Genomic DNA, 20,091 nt, shown 5'->3' with positions numbered 1-20,091 from the left:
AGTTTGAATGTCCTTTCTTCTCTTGCCTAATGCTCTGGCTAGGATTTCCCATATGAAAACTTTTATTTAATCTTGCTGAATTGACCCCTTTATCATCATATAATGACCCTCTTTGTATTTTCTTCCTTTTTGTCTTAAAGTCTATTTTATCTGATATAACTATTATAGTTGGTAGTGTTCTTTTTTGGTTTCTAGTTGCATAAGTGTATCCATTCAGCTAATCCATGTCTTTTAATTGAATAATTTAATTTATTTTCATTAAGGTAATTATTGACAGGGAAGAATTTACTACTGCCATTTTGCTTATTGTTTTCTGGTTGTTTGGTAGATTCTTTCTTACTTTCGTTCTCTCTTTCAGTCTTCCTTTGAGGTTAAGTGATTTTTCTTTAGTAACATGTTTTGATTTATTGCTTTTTATTTTATTATTATTATTATTATTATTATTATTATTATTATTATTATTTGGAGATGGAGTCTTGCTCTGTCGCCCAGGCTGGAGTGGAGTTGTGCAATCTTGGCTCACTGCACCCTCCACCTTTCGGGTTCAAGCAATTCTCCTGTCTCAGTCTCCCAATCAGCTGGGACTACAGATGCACACCACCATGCCTGGCTAATTTTTTAGTATTTTTAGCAGAGACAGGGTTTCACCGTGTTGCCCAGGCTGGTCTCAAACTCCTGAACTCAGGTAATCCGCCCGCCTTGGCCTCCCAAAGTGCTAGGATTACAGGCATGAGCCACTTTTTATTTTTAATGTATCTATAATAGGTTTTTGCTTTTTAGTTACTATAAGGGTTACAAAATACACCTTATAATAACAAGTTATTTTAAACTGATAACAACTTAACTTTCATTGCAAAGTAAAGAAACAAGCAAAAACACAGTACGCTTTATTCTCTCCCAACATTTAAAACTTTTTATGTCACTATTCACATATTTATATTGCCTATTTCTGAAAAAAAGTTATTATTTTAATAGTATCCTCTTTTAATCTTTTTATTTTAAAGATATATGTGGTTTATCTATCATAATTACAGTTTCAGAATCACAGTCACATTTGCATTCTTTTGGTTTGAAGAATTCTTGTTAGAATTTTTTTAGATTTTTTTTTATTTTGGGCACTTTTTGAACTTTGAATTTTTTTGTAAAAATGACTATATGTTGTTTAAAATAATGTGTGCCTGATATAAAATATGTGAACATTTTTTAAAAGGTAGAAAATAACAAATTTTCAATTTCCCACTACTCAAAAATATTTTTTAAAAATTAAAATACATATAACTCTAATGCAAATATAATCTAAAGACATATACATTGCCTGAAATACACACTAAGTTTACTGGGCTCAAACAAATAGTTAAATTTTTTTCCCTTAAATAAAGTCATCTTTTACTACATTCAGGTCTTTGTCTAAGATCTATGTATGTAAGAGTGATTTCTTTATCTGATACTACAAAATTTTCTTTAAAATATTTTTCTCAAAACAAAAGCTAACTCTTATCACTTAGAAAAAAAAACTGCTTTCAAATTTATTTTGCCGTTTTCGTTACTCTCTTAGTGACTCACATTAAGAAAAAATTTTGAATCTAGTCATCCAGAAATTCTTGTTTGCAATTAATATATCTTATTTATTTAAATGGTTTTAAATGTATTTTATTTACTATATTTAGTGTAATTTTAGTATTGTCATAATGTACACAATTGTACTGCCAGAGAAATACAAGGAAGTATGTATTCTGGTTACAGCAGTTATTTTATGTTTTGTTTGTTTGTTTCTCATGAGCTCTGGAAACTATTTGATGTTCAAAAATTACAATTTATGCCACAAACATTTACTAAATCTGTGTGCCAGGCATTCTGTTAGGTTTTGGGATATAAATTCTATTGCTTGTTTATTTAGTGGTAGCTATTCTGAGCAACACATCTGTGTGGTGTATGGAAACTAAAACCAAAAGTAAACAAAAACACATAACAAACTGAAATTAGTATCTGACCAAACCATCTTGTCATAGAATATATTTATGCATTTATTCAACAAATAGTTGTTGAACTCCTAAAATGTTTGATATGGCAGAGATGTATTTAAACCATATTTACTACATGTTAGGGTAACCCCACCCCACAAGCAGTAAGGATTGAAATAAGGCTTTCCCCTCAGCACCACACAATATACTCATGTAACAAATGCACATCTATCCCCTGAATCTATTTTTTAAAGTAAAAATAAAAAACAATTCGCTGAAAAAAATAAGGCTTTCTGAAGGTAGCGATATTTAAACTGTATTCTGAAGGAGTAGTCAGCCATGGGAATATCAGTGTGTTGTGCAGGTTCCAGGTACAGAAAAATATGTGTGTGGAATGCGATAGAAGAAAGTGGTGTGACGTATTGCAGAAACTGAAATTATTTGGTGTAGCTGAAACTAGAGCTTGGTTTGAAGGATCACACAAATTGTAGAAAGCATCAGATCATACAGGCACTTATAATGTGTGATATGGATTTGCCACCAAGAAGCCATTGAAGACTGAGGAACTGGTTGGCAATGGGAAGAGATAAAAACACTTTCAGATTTGCACTAAGTAGGTAGGTCATAAAGTAAAAAACACATGAGTAATTATTTGTTGTACATTTTTTCTTATTAGTTAACAATCTATTCTTACAGAAGTAAATATTTCCTTGAGGAAGTAACTAACTTATTTGTCGGATTCCGATGTTGTTTAACAAAGAAATAGGGAAACAGGTTTCACCTGAGAATCATTTGGTACAGAGAGAGTAAAGAATATTGAGTCCTGAACTGTTTAGCACGAGAACAGTAAAGCATGTTGGTCAGTTCTCAGCCGTCAATGATAGGAAATTAAATGCTAAAGATAGCCACAACAAAGACGCTGATGTCCTTGTCAAGAGTAGTTCCGTTAGATGGGTAGTTATGGAAGTCGAATTGCAATAGATTAAGGAGTATTTGGAGGGTCAGGAACTGAAGTTAAGATGTGAAGACAATTCTTTCAAGACATGGGTATGAAAGGAAATAGAATAGTATAGCTATGGTTTGAGGAGTTCAAGAGATCAAAACAATTTTATTCATTTTATTTTTATATATGTTAGGTTGGAGAAGACTTAAACATGTCTTTAAATCTGATAAAAAGTCATATTGTACTTTTAAAATTGCATTTCTTGTAACTTCAAGCTTTGTATTGTTGGGCCAAAATAAAGACAAATGTTAAGAGTTTCAGATCATTGTATAAGGGACTCTTCGATTGGAAAGAAACTGTAAAGTTTTTTTCAACTGATGTACAAAATCGGACAAAACAATGAAGTAATCCAATGCCTGGTTTTTACTTAATACCTATAGAAAACATGATAAATACATAATGTAAATTTGCTAAAATGTTAAAGTCTCCTTTTTAAATTAGTAGTTTGGATATGTGATGGGAAGAAGGTTAAATAATAAATATTATCTTAAAAATTATAAGTGTTCTGTTGTGAAAATTCATATTAAAATTCTATATTAAGTATAAGGTTGAGGAGAAAGATTCCTGCTAAAGTCTTAGATCATGAAATGATATGTGAGGAAATGTGTGAGAGAAAATCAAGTGAAACAAACATAACCATTTATCTGAAAGATTAATGACCTTGAAGAGAAGTAATGTGTTCTCAGATACAATATGAAGAAACTTAATGCCTAAGAACTTTTAGGAAAAAAATCTAGGAGAGAACTGGAACTTATTTATTTTTTTTTTGAGCCTCTTATCTAATTTTCTGTTTTTTTAATCCCATTCTTTCAAATTGTTTTCAAATTTGTCAGAAAAAGTCCAAGTCTGTATTATATTTGAGATTATTTTAACTAGATTAGATAAAAGAAGGTACTATCTTGACAGTAGTTAACTTTTTGACTTTGAATAACTCTTTTCAAATACTATGACCCCCAGCCCCCCAAACCAGGGTCTCACCAAGCTCTATTTCTTTCTTTTCTATTTCTTTCTATTCTACTTATCTCACTCTTTTCTTTAATAGTACACCCACCACAACTTGGACAACAACTAAAGACAAAGTAAATTAAATAATTATCTTAACTTTTCCTAGATTATGAAATCTTTATCAGGTATTAAAAATTTCTGCCCAGGCCAGGCACAGTGGCTCACGCCTGTAATCCCAGCACTTTGGGGGGCCAAGGCGGGCAGATCACCTGAGTTCGGGAGTTCAAGACCAGCCTGACAAACATGGTGAAACCCCGTCTCCACTAAAAATACAAAAATGAGCCGGGCATGGTGGTGCATGCCTGTAATCCCAGCTACTCAGGAGGCTGAGGCAGGAGAATCACTTGAACCCGGGGGGCAGAGGTTGCAGTGAGCCAAGATCGTGCAACTGCACCCCAACCTGGGCGACAGAGTGAGACTTTGTCTCAAAAAAAAAAAAAAAATATTCTGACCAGAATATTTCCTTTAACCTGTGGTTAATTAATATAAGGACGTATGTAGAGCTTTTATCCCAAACCCTATTTAAATTAATCTGTAGCCATTCTTTAGAGGTGTTTCTCATATCTTGAATTTTAAAACCTAATCATGCAGTCTGCGTACCCAAGCAGAAGAAGCATCAGGGTTTCCTTTTGGAGCAGTTTTGGTCCATTTGGCAGCCTACAAATCCTGACTTAATTATCCTTTCTACCTGAGAGTCAATAGTATGTTCATTCTAAATCTTAAAATGCACCCTGCAATGCATATTGTGACTTTTCTATTCAATGCGTTAACAGGTGGAAGAATTCTGCTGTTCTTGCTATATGTGCTTGAGCCCGAATTCTTAAAATACATGCTGAGAAGTGGCCATATTCTGGGGTTGTAATTTGCGAACTTGTGAAAGGCAAACATATGGTACAGCAAAATTTGTATTAATTTCAAATATTTAAAGGAGAACTTGAAAAGTCTGATGAAGATAACATATTGTGTAGATAAATATATATATTGCAGATAACAGAGAACACAGGTAATATCAGTGGATATAGAATTTGGTAAGCTTCTCTGTCAATTTTTTCGGATTTTCTATGTGCACAAACACATCTTCTGGAAATAATATCAATTACGTATTTTCTTATTCAAAAATAATGTTTTTTGTTGTTGTTTACACTTTACTGGTAAGGCTCTCCGAATTTTTTATTTTGCATAACTGTGGTTCTGCATCTCAAGAGGAAGAGGTTCAATAAAATATAATGTTTTCCAAATCAGTGTATTAGGTGTTTCTATACGATTAAAACGTGTTTAAGTCCAATTTCACTGGAATCTCTTTCCTGAAGTATCTAACAAATTTTTGAAAATTCTTGGCCATTATTTCCTCACATGGCTTTTGTCCCATCATTTCTCCCCTCTACTTTTAAGATTACAGAATATAGTAATTACATGAATATTATAATTTTACCGTTTTTTGTTTTCTATATTTTTATCTCAGTAACTTAGTTTGAGTATTTTCTATTAATTTATTTTTCATACCGTCATTTGTTTGCCTTTTATCGACTAATTTTGCACATCAAAATCTTAAATTATTGTATTGCCTTATTTGTTTCCATTTGATTTTTTTCATATGACTTGAAATTATCCAGCTTATTATCTATATTAAAAGACCAATGAAAGTTATTTTTATATCTATTAAGTAATAATTGTGATCCATATATTCGAACATATCTGTAGCAACTGGGAGACTGTTTCTGTTGTCTGTTTTTCTCATTGTGTCCAGTTTCTTTACAAACCTACTATTTTTTTCCTTTAATGCCAGGCATTGTGTATAAGAAATCACAGAGTCCATATAAGAATGTCTTTTCCTAAATATAAACTATATTGTTTGCTGGTACTTCAATTAAAAGTTCAGCTTAATGAAATCAGAGATTTTCACTGATACAACTCTAGGTTTCAGTCTTCGTATTATCCTCAGAAGATCTGCTTAGCTGCCATATTATGTTGAGCTCCTTGGACTCTCACTCTATGTTGTTAATAACTAGTAAATACCTTGAGAGGGAAAGAATACGCAGTGAATAATTTTGAGATGACTCTAATTAATTTATCTGTATTTCAGGATCTTAGCTTTCTAAGTCCTGATTGCCTCAGTAGAGCCTATTGAATGCAAATAATTATTTTGATATTGTATGTAACTTTTTTGTGGTTTTCGTGGAGAGGGATTTAGTCAGCTGCAAATTACTACTTTGCAATTGGAACCAGAATTCTCCATGTTACTTTCTAAGATATTTATCATGAAGTAAGCAATTTTAGTCTTAACTTTATGAATCTAATTAATATTTAATTTTAGGTTATTTAAGCAATTGTCATCAGAACACTTGATTGGGTCTGCTGGGCTTTATCATGTGTCTATCATGAAACTTGAATATTAACAGTCTTCCCTATGATGGAGTATAGCACTTATTAAAGTTATTTTTTTTGAAACAGTCTATATTATTAATACATGAAGTAACAAAACTTAAGTATCATGGACTTTCCAAAATCATAAAGTTTATTAAAATATCTATTAATGATTAAAGTTATTATAAGTACTGAGTTAATACATTCTACTTTTTTGTTTAATAGTGGGGTGCAGAACATGAAAGTCAATAATTTACTTACAAATTTAATTGTCAGTATTACTTGAAAACCAGGTTTTATATTTTTTTCATAATAAAAATCACCTATTTCTGCAAGGCAACATTTACTATGACATCTCAAGAATTCTATTTAGAATAGTATAATTAAGCTATCTTCCTCAATATCAAATGAACGAAATTAACATTTCATTGCTAATTAATTTTAGAATAGGCATGTAAATAATTTACTATTTCTGTGAGATTTCAGGTTTACTAACTTAAGGTCCTAATCAATACAGACAACATATTTTTAAACCTCTTTTAAAGAACTTTTCCATTTATTTATTATTCCCTAGAGCAAATCACTTATCCCACAATAGATTATTCGACTTTTATTTATTGAAGTTGTATTAAAATATAAAAATAAACACAGATATATTAGTTTTCTTAAGAAAATGATAAAAACCTGTATGTTATTCTAGATAATTGGCTCTTTATAAATCCCTTTATTATTTTGTGTGTGTGTGTGTGTGTGTGTGGTTTATAGGCTGTCATCAACCGGCCATTCAATGACACCTCAAAGTGATTTGGACTCCAGTAGCTCTGAAGAATTCTATCAAGCTGTTCATCATGCTGAGCAAACCTTCAGAAAGATGGAAAGTTATTTGAAGCAGCAGCAACTTTGTGATGTTATCCTGATTGTTGGGAACCGAAAGATACCTGCACATAGGTACAGTAGTCTGCCTCTACTGGAAACATGCATTCACATGTTTAAAAGTGCCAGACTGGCATGCAGATTGCAGAATATTATATGACTACAGAAATAAGGATTCACATTTTTTTAAGTTTTTTGTTGTTGTTGTTGTTTGTTTTGTTTATACTTGTTTTTATTTCTTATTTTTCTTTTGTGGAAAAGTTGAAATGCTACTTTAGGTAATAATTTTTTGAAAAACAAAACAATTATAAAGTGTTCAAAAATAAAACTACTTGTAACTAGGGTTGATAACTATGGAGGAAAAATTCCATTATCTGGGACTGTGGGATTCACAGTCATACTAATTTTAGGCACGCTAATTCAGGAATTGTGCCTAAAATCTGAAATGAAATATGCTATTCCATCAGAAACTAAAGAAAGGTAATCTTGGCTATATATTTATATCAACTAATAAATTAAGGTATTTCATATTGACATTTTTATATTTATTTAAAATTGTGTCATACTGATATTATTTTTAAAGCCATAATTCATTTGAAAGCTAATAGTTTTATTCATTAAAATGATTCCAGAAAAACATGGCTGTATTTCTACCATGATAGAAATATTACAATATGGACGTTGAATTTAAGTCAGTGTCTTGGAATACATGGGGAAGGACATTTGACATTGCATAACTACTGCAGGTGATTTAGAGTTCAATCTGTCAGCTAACTATTGAAAGCATTTTTATATTATTGATTTTATTTTTCAAATATAACTACAAAATTGAGTTACCATTTGCAAGAGAATTCACAGTCATTATTATTGAGAGAATTATTCAATGTCATAATATGTGTGGCAAAACCACAAATTATCCTGAGCTAGCATCTAAATAGCATCTAGTTAATAATTCAATTATATTCTTCAGCGTAAGAGCTATTCTTGAGAGTGTAATTAAATTGACTTCATTTAACTTATAAATTAAATAATATTGTATGTATTTTTAAGAAGACAGGAGGTGTCAACCAACTCAAAAATATATTAACACATCAAATGCTCATTAATTTTTTAAAAAGATGGGTGTTTCCTATAATTTCTTCAATCTTGTAGTCTTTTATTCATCTTAATTCAACATTTTCTTTTTCATTTGAAACATTTTTAACCAATCTGTTGAGCAATTATTCTATATTCATAATATTCTACATTGTTTTCTTTATTACTGTTTATATACATTAGTTATTTTCTAAATTATTTAGTTATGCAAATTGTTTACAATATTCCTATTGGATGAGAAATCAAAATTCTTCTTGGTTTATATTGTTCTAAAACATCTGAGCAATGTATTACCTTTATATGTATTATTCTGAACATATAAATATTTAATATATTTAGAATATATTAAACTAAATACATTATTATCAATCATTGATGTGTTTCTTAAGTAGGATACGAAAAATTAGTTTTTAAAAATCATTACGGCTAACTCAATTCAAATAAAATTTTATATTTTCTTTACACTGTTAAGTGATAAACTTAAGTACATTACTATTTTAAAGAGTTTATTTGAGCAAACAGCAACTCATGATCGGGTAGCACGAGACCACAAGCTGTTCAGAGACCCACCTAAAGAAGACCAGGGGAAAGTTTTCATAAGACGCTTGTGGAAACAAGACAAAGAAAATATTTGATTGGTTAAAGCGGGGCAAGAGCCTAGTTAGAGGTTGGTTGGTGGTTTCTGATTGGTTAAATTACTCTGAGTTGGTTTTTGCTTGGCAAAAACCTGGAGATGTCTCAGCCTAATGACCTCCCAATTAAATTTTTAACACTATAGTTTAAAACTTTAGTACTAATTATTTTACAAGTAATGTACATCTTAGGACTTTAAGTTAAACAAATATTAATAAATACAAATAAATATTGTGTGACGCTTGAACAAGCATTGTTGTGAATCATTGCAGGTATTTGATACTACTTTACTGATACTTTTGCAAGATGAAACAGTTGTAATTAACGCAAAACTAGCTCTTGACTTAAAATGAATAATCATTAGTAATAAACTAATACATTTTAATACTTTTAGTATATTTTGGTTAGTACAACTAAATATTGTCTTTAAGCAAAATGTATGTGGTGTTGGAATCATTACCACTAAAAATTGTGGAGCTATTATAATAATATCAAATAATATAAAAATAAATAATTTTTATGAAGATTTATAGCTCTTTCAGTAAAAGCATTGCTAGCTAACATTATTAGCACTTGCTCAGTATTCATTCATAATTATATATGTTTAATTTATATTAATTATATCATCATTCCAAACTGTCAAATAAATTTTATTTTTAGTTAACATATTGCCCTCATTGAAGGACTCTACATAATATCATGTATTTATGTGCTGGTTATATGGTGTATGTTTTTAACTTGATATTGGTCACAATTATCAATTGTTTTATGAAAGGCCATGTTTATGTAGATAGTTCTGTTTACTGTTAGGCATATTTTTAAGTAGATAAGGTCTGAAAGGCTAATAATATTTCAGATAACCCATTAATATATTTCTGCATGAAAAATAATCAAAATTCTGAACTCATTTGTGCTTTAGGCCTTGAAGGAAATCCTAAGAGGAATATCACTTTCTCACAAATAGCCCAAGATAATTGATCAGCAACAAGTAAACCAAAATATTTGAATGTAAATCCTTGAATTTCAAACATCAAAAATTTTTTATAGGTAGGCTACCTTTAATCTGAGATTCAGATGAGGAAAATTAGGTTGACAGATCAATATTAAAATTGGATATTTGAATTTTCAATTGTAAGAAAATTAGGAGGTGTTCATGGCCTTGTCTGATATAATGTACAGATATGAAATGAAATATGATTGAGCTTGTGAAAGTTTTCTTCCCCCTTAGCCATTATTAAGAGTAAGAGCATTTTGCAGACATACATGGGGAAATCTTATGTAACTAATATACTTAGTCTTGAGTTGGAAATAATGTTATTTATCATTTTATGTTCATCGAAACAGTGTTGAAGGATATACGCCAAAAACTTAACAAATCTTATTCCTGTGAGATAGGGCTCATAATGAGGAAAGAAGGGGTGGCTTTTTTCTGAAATGTATCAACAGATGTATTATTTAAATTTTTACAGCAAGCATGCAATATGTTCATGATCAAATGAAAACTTAAATGAAGAATAAAATGATGATATTTGATAGATAGAAAAGTATCCTATTCTACAGACTAAAACACTTGGCATTTAAAAATGTGTTATATTCTGTTTTCACTGTTTGTACATATTTGACAATAAGTTTAGTTATTTCAAGAAAGTATTTATTATTTTAATGTTCTTTATAGTGCACTAGTATGTAGACAGTTGAGGCTAAAGTGACAATTGAAATGATGCATTTAGTAGCACTTAAACCACATTAAATACATTAAAAAGAAATTACTTACCTAAACAACATATATAAATACCCAAGAGTAGGCAGATAGTACTGCTTCTCTATGTTGATGGAAAATTTATTTACATAGATTATCTTTAATAGTAGAGGAATAACATTTCTTTCATTTTACTAAATCATCCATCCACCTAAATCTCTCACTCAGTTTGATAGTTTAAAATATCTCTGTAGCAACTTCAGAAAAAAATAATTAGTAAAACTGAAAAACTTTTGTTTTCTTGATCACTTGGATATCATTTTAATGTTTTGCTTATGTCTATAGTAGATTGTCAGCAGTCCATGAAGCATCTTTCTTTGCACTAATTAAAACAAACAATTATCAAACATACTCTAGCATTGGCCTATGCCCTGTTGATGATGCATAATGATTATAAAACATAATGTTTTTCCTTGTAGAGTTTTCAATATACTTGAGGAATTAAAGATAAACCATAAGATAATTAAGGAAATTATTATAGTTGCAAATAACTGCAAGGTAGAATATATGGTTCTAATTCCAAGTCAAGACATAGTCAAATAAGGAAATGAGTAGTATATGATAGAGTATTATGAAAGTTTTTCAGAGAAATTGAGTGTGAGGTAAGCCTAGTGGAAAAGACATGGCATACTATTTTAAGTAGAGATACTACTATGGAAAAAATAGAGAACTAAAGAATTTCTGTTTGCAAAAATTACAAGGATAATGAGTTGGTGAAAATAGAGTTTATATTGGAAATAACTGGGAAATTAAACCATAAAAATAGGACAAAGATGATTATGATAGACCTCAGGAGCCAGTAGATAAGTTTTTTACTTGAAACAGTATGTTTAATTAGAAGCTAATGTAGGTTCTTGAGGAGAGGAATAACAACTGAGTCAATGATAATGATGATGATGATGATGATGATAGTTAACACTCACTGCATTGATTATGTTCCAGGCCTTGTTTAAAGTAGTTTGCATTTACAAATCATTTTGTCTTTAAGAAACAGAAAATTCTTAATTTCTCACTTTTCTCTATAATATAGAAAACGGAGGCATGGAAAAAATTTAAAATGTACCCAAGTTATTCACTCAATAATTGGTGACATTAGAACTCAAACCCAGGCAATCTGGGTACTGAAATAATGACTTTAACAACCACAATAGACTGACTATCATAATTTAGAAAGGTAGTTTTGAAATATGGTATGGTTTTAGAAAATGTATAAAGGACAGGCACAGCAGAAACTAATGATCTGAGAAGCTGTTTTGGTTAATCCAGGCATGAAATGAAGACTATATGAACATAAAGGATGAACTGAGCAGTATTTTGAAGGATGATGTCATAAGCCAGATTCCCTCATGTGAGAGCCTGAGCCTGGAATTCAGGTTTTCATGATGGATTTAAAGGCTGACCTCAGAAGAAACAGAAGCAGGCAGAGGAAGGAACAAATCAAGAATGAAGACTTGCTTCCTCTTTATCTCTCCGGAAGCTCTGCATATGACTTCCTGCAGAATGAGTCACACCCCGAAGCAAGGATTTATCCTGATTCTTAGTCAGTGCTTTAAGATCCACCCACAGGTTGAGAGTCAGGAGAGGTGGTGGCAGTTGAAGGATAAAGTGTGAGAAGCAGGAACACATAGACTTCCACAGAATAAGGAGCTCCTGTTAGGCCAAGTCCAGTTCCTGAAAAAAGGAGCATCTGGGTGCTTTAGGTACTAACATCACTGCCCCTGGGACATCGGCAGGCCTCATAAAGAAGGCAAGAACACATTCAAAGAGAAAGATGGATTTTACATCATATTTGATATAGGAAACAAAGTAGAAAGAAACACAATGATACTTTCATAATTTTGACTCTGGAAGTTCATAAATTCGACTCTGGAAGTGCACCAATTAGAAACAAAGAAGTATAAATGAAAGAAAATATCAGTGGGAAAGCTTTGAGTTTAATTTAGTTATAATGAAATGTCCTGGGATATGTGATGAGCAGTTCTACAGGCATTTGAGATACAGGGTTATGTTTACAACCACCGTAAAAATAGTAATTAAGGCAATGCTCAAGAATGATTCTGAAACAGTGAGCATCAAGGCAAAATGTAGAGGCCTGAACAAAACCTATGGCAGTGAGAGGGTTAAAGACTAGACCCAGGAAGAAAAGTCAATGAATCAGAGGTAAGCTGGGATAAGAAGTCTGCACAGCTTTCGCTAAAAAATAGATTTAAAAAAGGAATGGGAGGTTAACAATATCAAACACCATAATAAATTGAAGTGGAACTTAAAAAGTTTAATCGATTTGAAGGAAATAAATTTGTAGTGACCTCAATAAGAGATTTTCTAGTGTGGTTGCATGCATATACTTCTTTATGCATGTTTTACTCCAGGTTCTCTAGCATTAATAGAACTAAATATGTGCATATAAAAATATTAATGTCTGTTATGCATTAAATCCCTCTTCTAAAATTTAATCCATATCTTATGTCACCAAATCTAAATGCAGTATAAACTTTTCTGCAGTTTTTTTTAATGAGTTAGCAGTATTTAGTATGTTATAGTTGACAAAGAAGATATTATGTAATTATTTAAAATTGAATAATATAGGTTACACGATATTTTGCTCTATGGAGATGTGGCCTTGCTGCAACTATATACGTTTTATGCATAAGATTAAGCTGGTTAACTTTATGTTGATATATTTTTTATGCATAGGAAATATATTTATCCTCTAGTTTATTATAGTTTGTTTGTATCATACAATGATTTAATTAATGCTTTTGATAAAACTCACCATCTGACACTAATTTATCTAATTGGTATGTAATAAATATTTGAGGATAACTGTGTCTTAATCATTTTGTCAAATTCTGAGATTATAAAAAGTTGACATTTTAGTTACTAACTGCCCAGAATAAATGCATAGGAAAGTGAGAACTTTAAATATGTCTAACATGTTACCATCCTCAGCATTAATATTAATAAAATATTTAAAGCCATGAATCTTATAAGGCATTTCTTAAATGCATGAATTACATGGTTAAGTCATGTTTTCCAGTTAAAAGAATGTATTTTGTGTTTAAGTTAAATTATACCATGTCCTTCCACTTACCTTATATGTAAGATAAAATACATAGCAGATAAAACTTCAAAATAAATAAATGAAAAAAAATCTCCTAAAAAGTTTTAGATAATAATTTCCTGTATTGATCTAACTTCCTTTCTTTTCTCTTATAGTATTCTTAGGAAAAACGTGCATTCAAATTTTACTGTTGTTTTGCTTATAGATGTAAGCATCACTATAATTCTTTTGACATATCCTCAATTGTTTTGAGCACTTCTTTTTTTTATTATTATACTTTAAGTTTTAGGGTACATGTGCAAAACGTGCAGGTTTCAAATGTCCAACAATGATAGGCTCGATTAAGAAAATGTGGCGCATATACACCATGGAATACTATGCAGCCATAAAAAATGATGAGCATTTCTTTACTCTCTGCAACAAAAGGTATTCCAGGCTGATTTTATGCTTACCCTGCTCCATTCTGCAGTCTGTCCTTTTTCTAAGGAGTCTTTGACAGACATGCACACATACATACATATGCACAAACACAAATAAGAATTCATATATTTTATGTTTAAAACAAATAATTTATATTAATACCTTCAATTTCTTTTTTTTTTTTAAATTTCAACCCATAATACCTTCAATTTCATAGGTTTGATTTTTTTTTAAGTCTTCTCCCTTTCTGTACAGGCACACCCTGAAGATATTGCAGGTTGGATTCTAGACTACCATAATGAAGTGACTATCGCAATTAAGCAAGTCACCAAAATATATATTATATATGTATATTTATATATATATTTGTTTATATTTGTTTCTTAGCAAATATATCAGTTCTATTTACATGATACCATAGGTCTAATAAGTGTGCAGTAGCACTACTTCATCATGTATGTATGTGTACATAGTTATTTAAAAAATGCTTTATTGCTAAAAAATGCTAACAATCATCTGAGCCTTCTGGGAGTGTTAATCTTTTTGCTAGTGATGGGTCTTAACTCGCTGTTGATGGCTTCTGATTGATCAGGGTGGTGGTTGCAGAAGGCTGGAGTATCTGTGGCCATTCTTAAAATAGGATGATAGTGAAATACATTGCAACAATTGATTCTCCTTTCACAATTTTTTTATATACATATAGCATGGGATGCTGTTTGATAGCATTCTACCCACGGTATAACTTCTTTCAAAATTGGAATCAATTTTCTCTTCAACCCTACTGCTGCTCTGTCAATTAAGTTTGTGTAATATTCTTTTTTATTTCTTTTTTTTTTTTTTTGATTCAGCATCTTGCTTTGTGGCCACAGGCTGGGGCACAGTGGTGCGATCTTGGCTCATTGCAATCTCCGCTTCCCAGGTTCAAGCAATTCTCCTGCCTCAGCCACCTGAGTAGCTGGGATTACAGGCACGCGCCACCACGCCCATCTAATTTTTGTATTTTTAGTAGAGACGGGGTTTTGCCATCTTGGCCAGGCTGATCTTGAACTCCTGGCCTCAAGTGATCCACCAGCCACCTCCCAAAAAGTTTAGATTTCAGGCGTGAGCCACAACGCCCCACCAGGTTGTGTAATATTCTAAATCCTTTCTTGTCATTTCAATGATCTTCACAGAATTTTCACCAGGAGTAGACACCATCTCAAGAATCATTTTCTTTGCTCATCTATTAGAAGCAACTCTTCATCCATTCAAATTTGATCATGACATTGCGGCAATTCAGTTACATCTTCAGATTCCACTTCTAATTCTAATTCTTTGGTTAGAGGTTACTTCTAGTAAGGTTACTTCCTCCACTGATGTCTTAAACCCTTCAAAGTCATATATGAGGGTTGGAATCTTCTCTTTTTCCAAACTAGTTGTTATTTTTACTTCCTCCCATGACTTATGAATGTACTTAATGGTATGTAGGAGAGTGAAATTTTCCAGAAAGTTTTAAATTTACTTTGCCAGATGCCTCAAAGGAATCACTATTTACAGCATCTGGAGACTTATTTTTCAAAGAACTAAAAATAAAACTACCATTCAGTCCAGCAATCCAGCTACTGAGTGTCTGTCCAAAGGAAACAAAATCAATATATCAAAAAACCTGTGCTTGTATATTTATTGCACCACTATTCACAATATCAGATATATGGAATCAACCTAATTGTTCATCAATTGATGAGTGGATAAATAAAATATGATATAGATACACATGGAATACTATTCAGCCATTAAAAAAATGAAATCATGTCATTCATGGTCACATGGATGGACTTAGAGGTCATTTTCTTAAGTGAAACAAGCCAGGCACAGAAAGACAAATGTCATATGTCTTCACTCATAAGTAGTTGCTAAAAGCTGTGATTATATGGACATAGAGAGTTGAATAATAGATAATGGAGATCCAGAAGAGTGAGGAGGTGGGAAGGAGAAGGAAGGTGAAAAAATGATTAATGGGTACAATGTACATTATTTAGATGATGGATACCCTAAAAACCCTGTATTGACCATTACACAATCTATACATGTAACAAAATTGCACGTGTATGCAAAAATCTGTACAAATAAAAAGGAAAAAAGAAAAGAAATGAAATATACTTTTTAAAAATAATATGACTTGAAAGTCAAAATTATTTCTTAATGAGCTGTACAATGGATGTGTTAGCAGGCCTAAAGACAACATTAATCTCCTTGTACATCTCTGTCAGAGCTCTTGAGCAACCAGGAACATTGTCAATGAGTAGTAAGTCTCAACTGTGGATATAAAATACTCAGTAAGCCATTCTGCAAACGATGTGCTGTCGTCCAGGCTTTATAGTTCCATTCCTAAAGCACTGGCTGAGTAGAATTAGCGTAATTCTTAAGAGCCCTAGGATTTTCAGAATGGTAATGAGAATTGGCTTCTATTTAAACTCACTGGTGCATTAGTCCCTAAAAAGAGAGTTAGCCTGTCCTTTGAAGCTTAGAAGCCAGTCATTGACTTCTCTCTAACTATGAAAATCCTAGATGACATCTTCTTTATATATATGGTCAACACTGAAAATTTATTGTTTAGTGTAGCCACTTTCATCAATGATCACAGAAGCTGCAGCTTCTGTTAGGTTGGAACAAAATTAATTGATGTTTTTGACATTAAAAGTAATGGCAAAAACCATAATAACTTTTGCACCAACCCACTTGCTGCTTCACTTTGCACTTTTATGTTATGGAGAAGACTTCTTTCCCTAAACTTCATAAACTAACTTCTGCCAACTTTGTACTTTTCTTCTGCAGTTTCGTCACCTCTCTCAGCCTTCATGAAATTGAAGAGAGTTAGGGCCTTACTCTGGATTAGGCTTTGGCTCAAGGAAGTGTTGTGGCAGGTTTCATCTTCTGCCCAGACCACTCACTTTCTCCATTTCAGAAATAAGTCTGTTGTGCTTTCTTATTATTTGAGTGTTCACTAGAGTAGCACTTTTAATTTACTTCAAGACTTTTTCCTTTGCATTCACAACTTGCCTAAGTGTTTGGCAAAAAAGGCCTAGCTTTTGTTCTCATTCCACTTTCTACATGTCTCCCTCGCTAAACTTAATCATTTCTAGCTTTTGATTTAAAGTGAGAGACATGCAACACTTCCATTCATTTGGACACTTAGAGGGCATTGCAGGGTTATTAGTAGGCCTAGTTTTAATATTGTGTCTCAGGGAACAGGGAGACCCATGGAGAAGGGGAGAAATGAGGGGGTGGCCAGTTAGTGAAGCAGTCAGAACTATACTTACTGAGTTTATTGTCTGATATAGGTATAGTTTATGACACCGCCAAACAAGAACAATTGTAACATCAAAGATCACTGCTCACAAATTACTGTAACAGACATAACAATAAAATATTTGAAATATTGCCAGAATTACCAAAATGTGACCAAGATACATGAAGTGAGCCCATGCTGTTGGAAAACTGGTTTTGATGGAATTGCTAGATAATGAGTTGCTATAAGCCTTCAATTATTTTTAAAAAACTGCAGTATCTGCAAAGCACAGTAAAGTGAAATGCAATAAAATAAGGCATGCTTGTATTTGTAATTCCATTTTCCATCAGATAAACCAAATAATTGTATTTTATTTTTAAAGCCATCAAAAAGCTGTGAATATACCAATAACAACCAAACCAAACCAAAACAGAGAACAAATAACAATGCCTAAGAACTAAAGGCCAGCTCCCTTCTTAGCCTGTATTTTTTTTTGTGGGGGTAGTATAGTATCTGTTATGTAATCAAATTTTACTGTAGACAGAAAATGCAGGAGAATGTTATTGATGGTTCAAACAAAAATCAGTCAATGGAAATTGACCAAGAGATGACCCAGTTGTTTAAAGTATTAGAAAAGGGAGAAAAGTAACTATCATAAATAATTCAAAATATTTATAGGAGAAGATAGATAACAATGAATAAAGCAATCAGGAATATAAAGACATTTGAGAAAATTCAAGTGATTAGAAATTAAAGTAAAGCAGAGAGGAAAACAAAAATTGAGTGTAAAATGAATTAAGATTGAACAGTCTATGTAGCATTCTCAGTTGTTGAACCATATATGCAATCTGAGTCCTAGAATGTATCAGAGAGTTAATTTGGTGAAAATATGAGTAATTATTTGCAGATAATTTTCAAAATTTGATTTAAAAGGATCCATGCACTGCTCCAGGAAGCTCAGAAAAACATATGCTGAGTAAATATTAAGTCCCACTTACAGCTAAATAACTAAAACCCTAAGATCAAGAGAAAAAAGTTAAAAACAAAAATAAAGGACATATTACATCAGAAAAACAATTGTAAGAATGAAAGCTAGCTTTCTATAACAAACAAGATGGTCTGGGTGCAGTGTCTCATGCCCATAACCCCAATACTTTTGTAGGCTAAGGCAGGAGGATTACTCAAGGCCAGTAGCTCCAGACCAGCCTGGTCAATATAGCAAGATGCTGTCTACAAAAAATTCAAAAACTAGCTAGGCATGGTAGCATATACTTGTGATCCTAGCTGTTTGAGAGGTAGAGGCAGAAGAATTGCTTGGGCCCAGGAGTTTGAGGTGCCAGTGAGCTATGATTGTGCCACTGGACTCCAGCCTGGGTGACAAAGCAAGAGCCTATTTTTAAAAAAACAAACAAACTGACAAAAAAATTCCAACAGTGGTGCCTAATTGATAATGAAATTGTATATTTCAAGTTCAAAAAAAATCACCCTAGAATTCTATGTCATGTGTAAATAACTTTTAAAAGATACTAGACATGCAACTAAATAAGTCTTCAGATAAATGAAAGCTGTGTATGTTTTTTTATTTTTTGCCATCAGACTTACAGTACAAGAAATAACTAAAGATATTTCTTCCAATATTGATACCAGCTTAAAGCCGACTTCAAAAATGAATGGAGAGCATCAAAAATTGTGAAAAAGGCAGTAAATTTAAATATATTTTATGTTCTTCTTTTAGATTTTTGACTGAGCAGAAGGGGTGTTTTATGTTGCAAATTTCTTACAATATCCATGAAGGTAGAGTGTTATTGGTTAATGTGATCTCTAGACAAATTTAGCAAATATCTGTGCAGGGGCCACATCTGCTGTGCAGCTTGTTTTTGTGTAGACCATAAGCTAAAATTAATTTTAGAATTTTCAATTGATTGAGTTTGTTTTTAAGGAGAATATGCAACAAAGACTGTAGAATTTTCAACATGTAAAATATTTACTATTTGGCTGTTTATGGAAAACAAAATTCTGGTTGCTGCCGTAGAGTAACCACTTTAAACACACATATGTGTGCATACACACATGTGAAAAACATGTAGTCAATATAATGAATGATATGAAATAATTACTGTACAAAGATTAATCCGAAGAACAAATAGAGTAAATTAAAAACAAATATAAATTGGTACAATTAAACCCAAATGTAATTTTGTGAAAAACATAAATTAGACATTTTAGAACCCATGCTAGGTGAGGTGGTTGTGCATGCTGTCCCAGCTACACAGGAGGCTGAGGAAGGCAGATCACTTTGAGCCCTGGGGTTCAAGGCTGCAATGAGCTATGATCATGCCACTGCACAACATCCTAGACAACAGAAAGAGATACTGTCTCTAAAAAAAATGCTGAAATTATAAACAAACAAATAAATGTTAGGCTCTAAGTAAAGTGAAAAAAACTTTGGAAAATTTAAGATGCAAAAGTGAATATATGAAGAAATAACTTGAATAAGCCTTGTGACTTAGTAAATAATGGAAATGATATTAGGAAAGTCTTCTTCAAAATAGCCGAATGTAAATGGTTTTACACATAATTTCTGAAAGATCTTAAAGAAAAAAGTAATTGCTTTATTCTAAAAGTTGTTACACAAAATTAAAGAGTTGT

The 20,091-nt window shown here is 31.9% G+C and overlaps 1 protein-coding gene across 4 annotated transcripts in view, besides 1 other annotated feature; it reads left to right on the top strand.

The window, feature by feature from the left end:
• KLHL1 (kelch like family member 1) overlaps positions 1-20,091 on the top strand; it is a 407,856-nt gene that overhangs the window by 125,552 nt on the left and 262,213 nt on the right. For 2 of the 4 annotated variants that reach the window (NM_020866.3, XM_017020678.3), the window contains exon 2: positions 7,099-7,281. The exons of 1 other annotated variant lie outside the window; for it this stretch is intronic. In NM_020866.3, the coding sequence (NP_065917.1) occupies positions 7,099-7,281 (183 nt within the window). Of the gene's footprint in view, positions 1-7,098; positions 7,282-11,959; positions 12,854-20,091 lie in introns of those variants that run through there. One more of the 4 variants, XM_017020679.2, reaches the window with a different exon arrangement.
• Positions 11,751-12,950: an enhancer, noted in NCBI's record as "MED14-independent group 3 enhancer chr13:70544083-70545282 (GRCh37/hg19 assembly coordinates)". NCBI's record gives its function as "activates an origin of replication core promoter dependent on BRD2, BRD4, P300/CBP and CDK7 cofactors, and independent of MED14, by STARR-seq in HCT116 cells {active_cell/tissue: HCT116}" and the evidence as "EXISTENCE:reporter gene assay evidence [ECO:0000049][PMID:35650434]".

This window comes from Homo sapiens, chromosome 13 (genome assembly GCF_000001405.40).
Source record: "Homo sapiens chromosome 13, GRCh38.p14 Primary Assembly".
Taxonomy (NCBI): Eukaryota; Metazoa; Chordata; class Mammalia; order Primates; family Hominidae; genus Homo; species Homo sapiens.
Note: the sequence above shows the minus strand (reverse complement) of the source record. Positions and strands in the feature narration are given on the sequence as shown.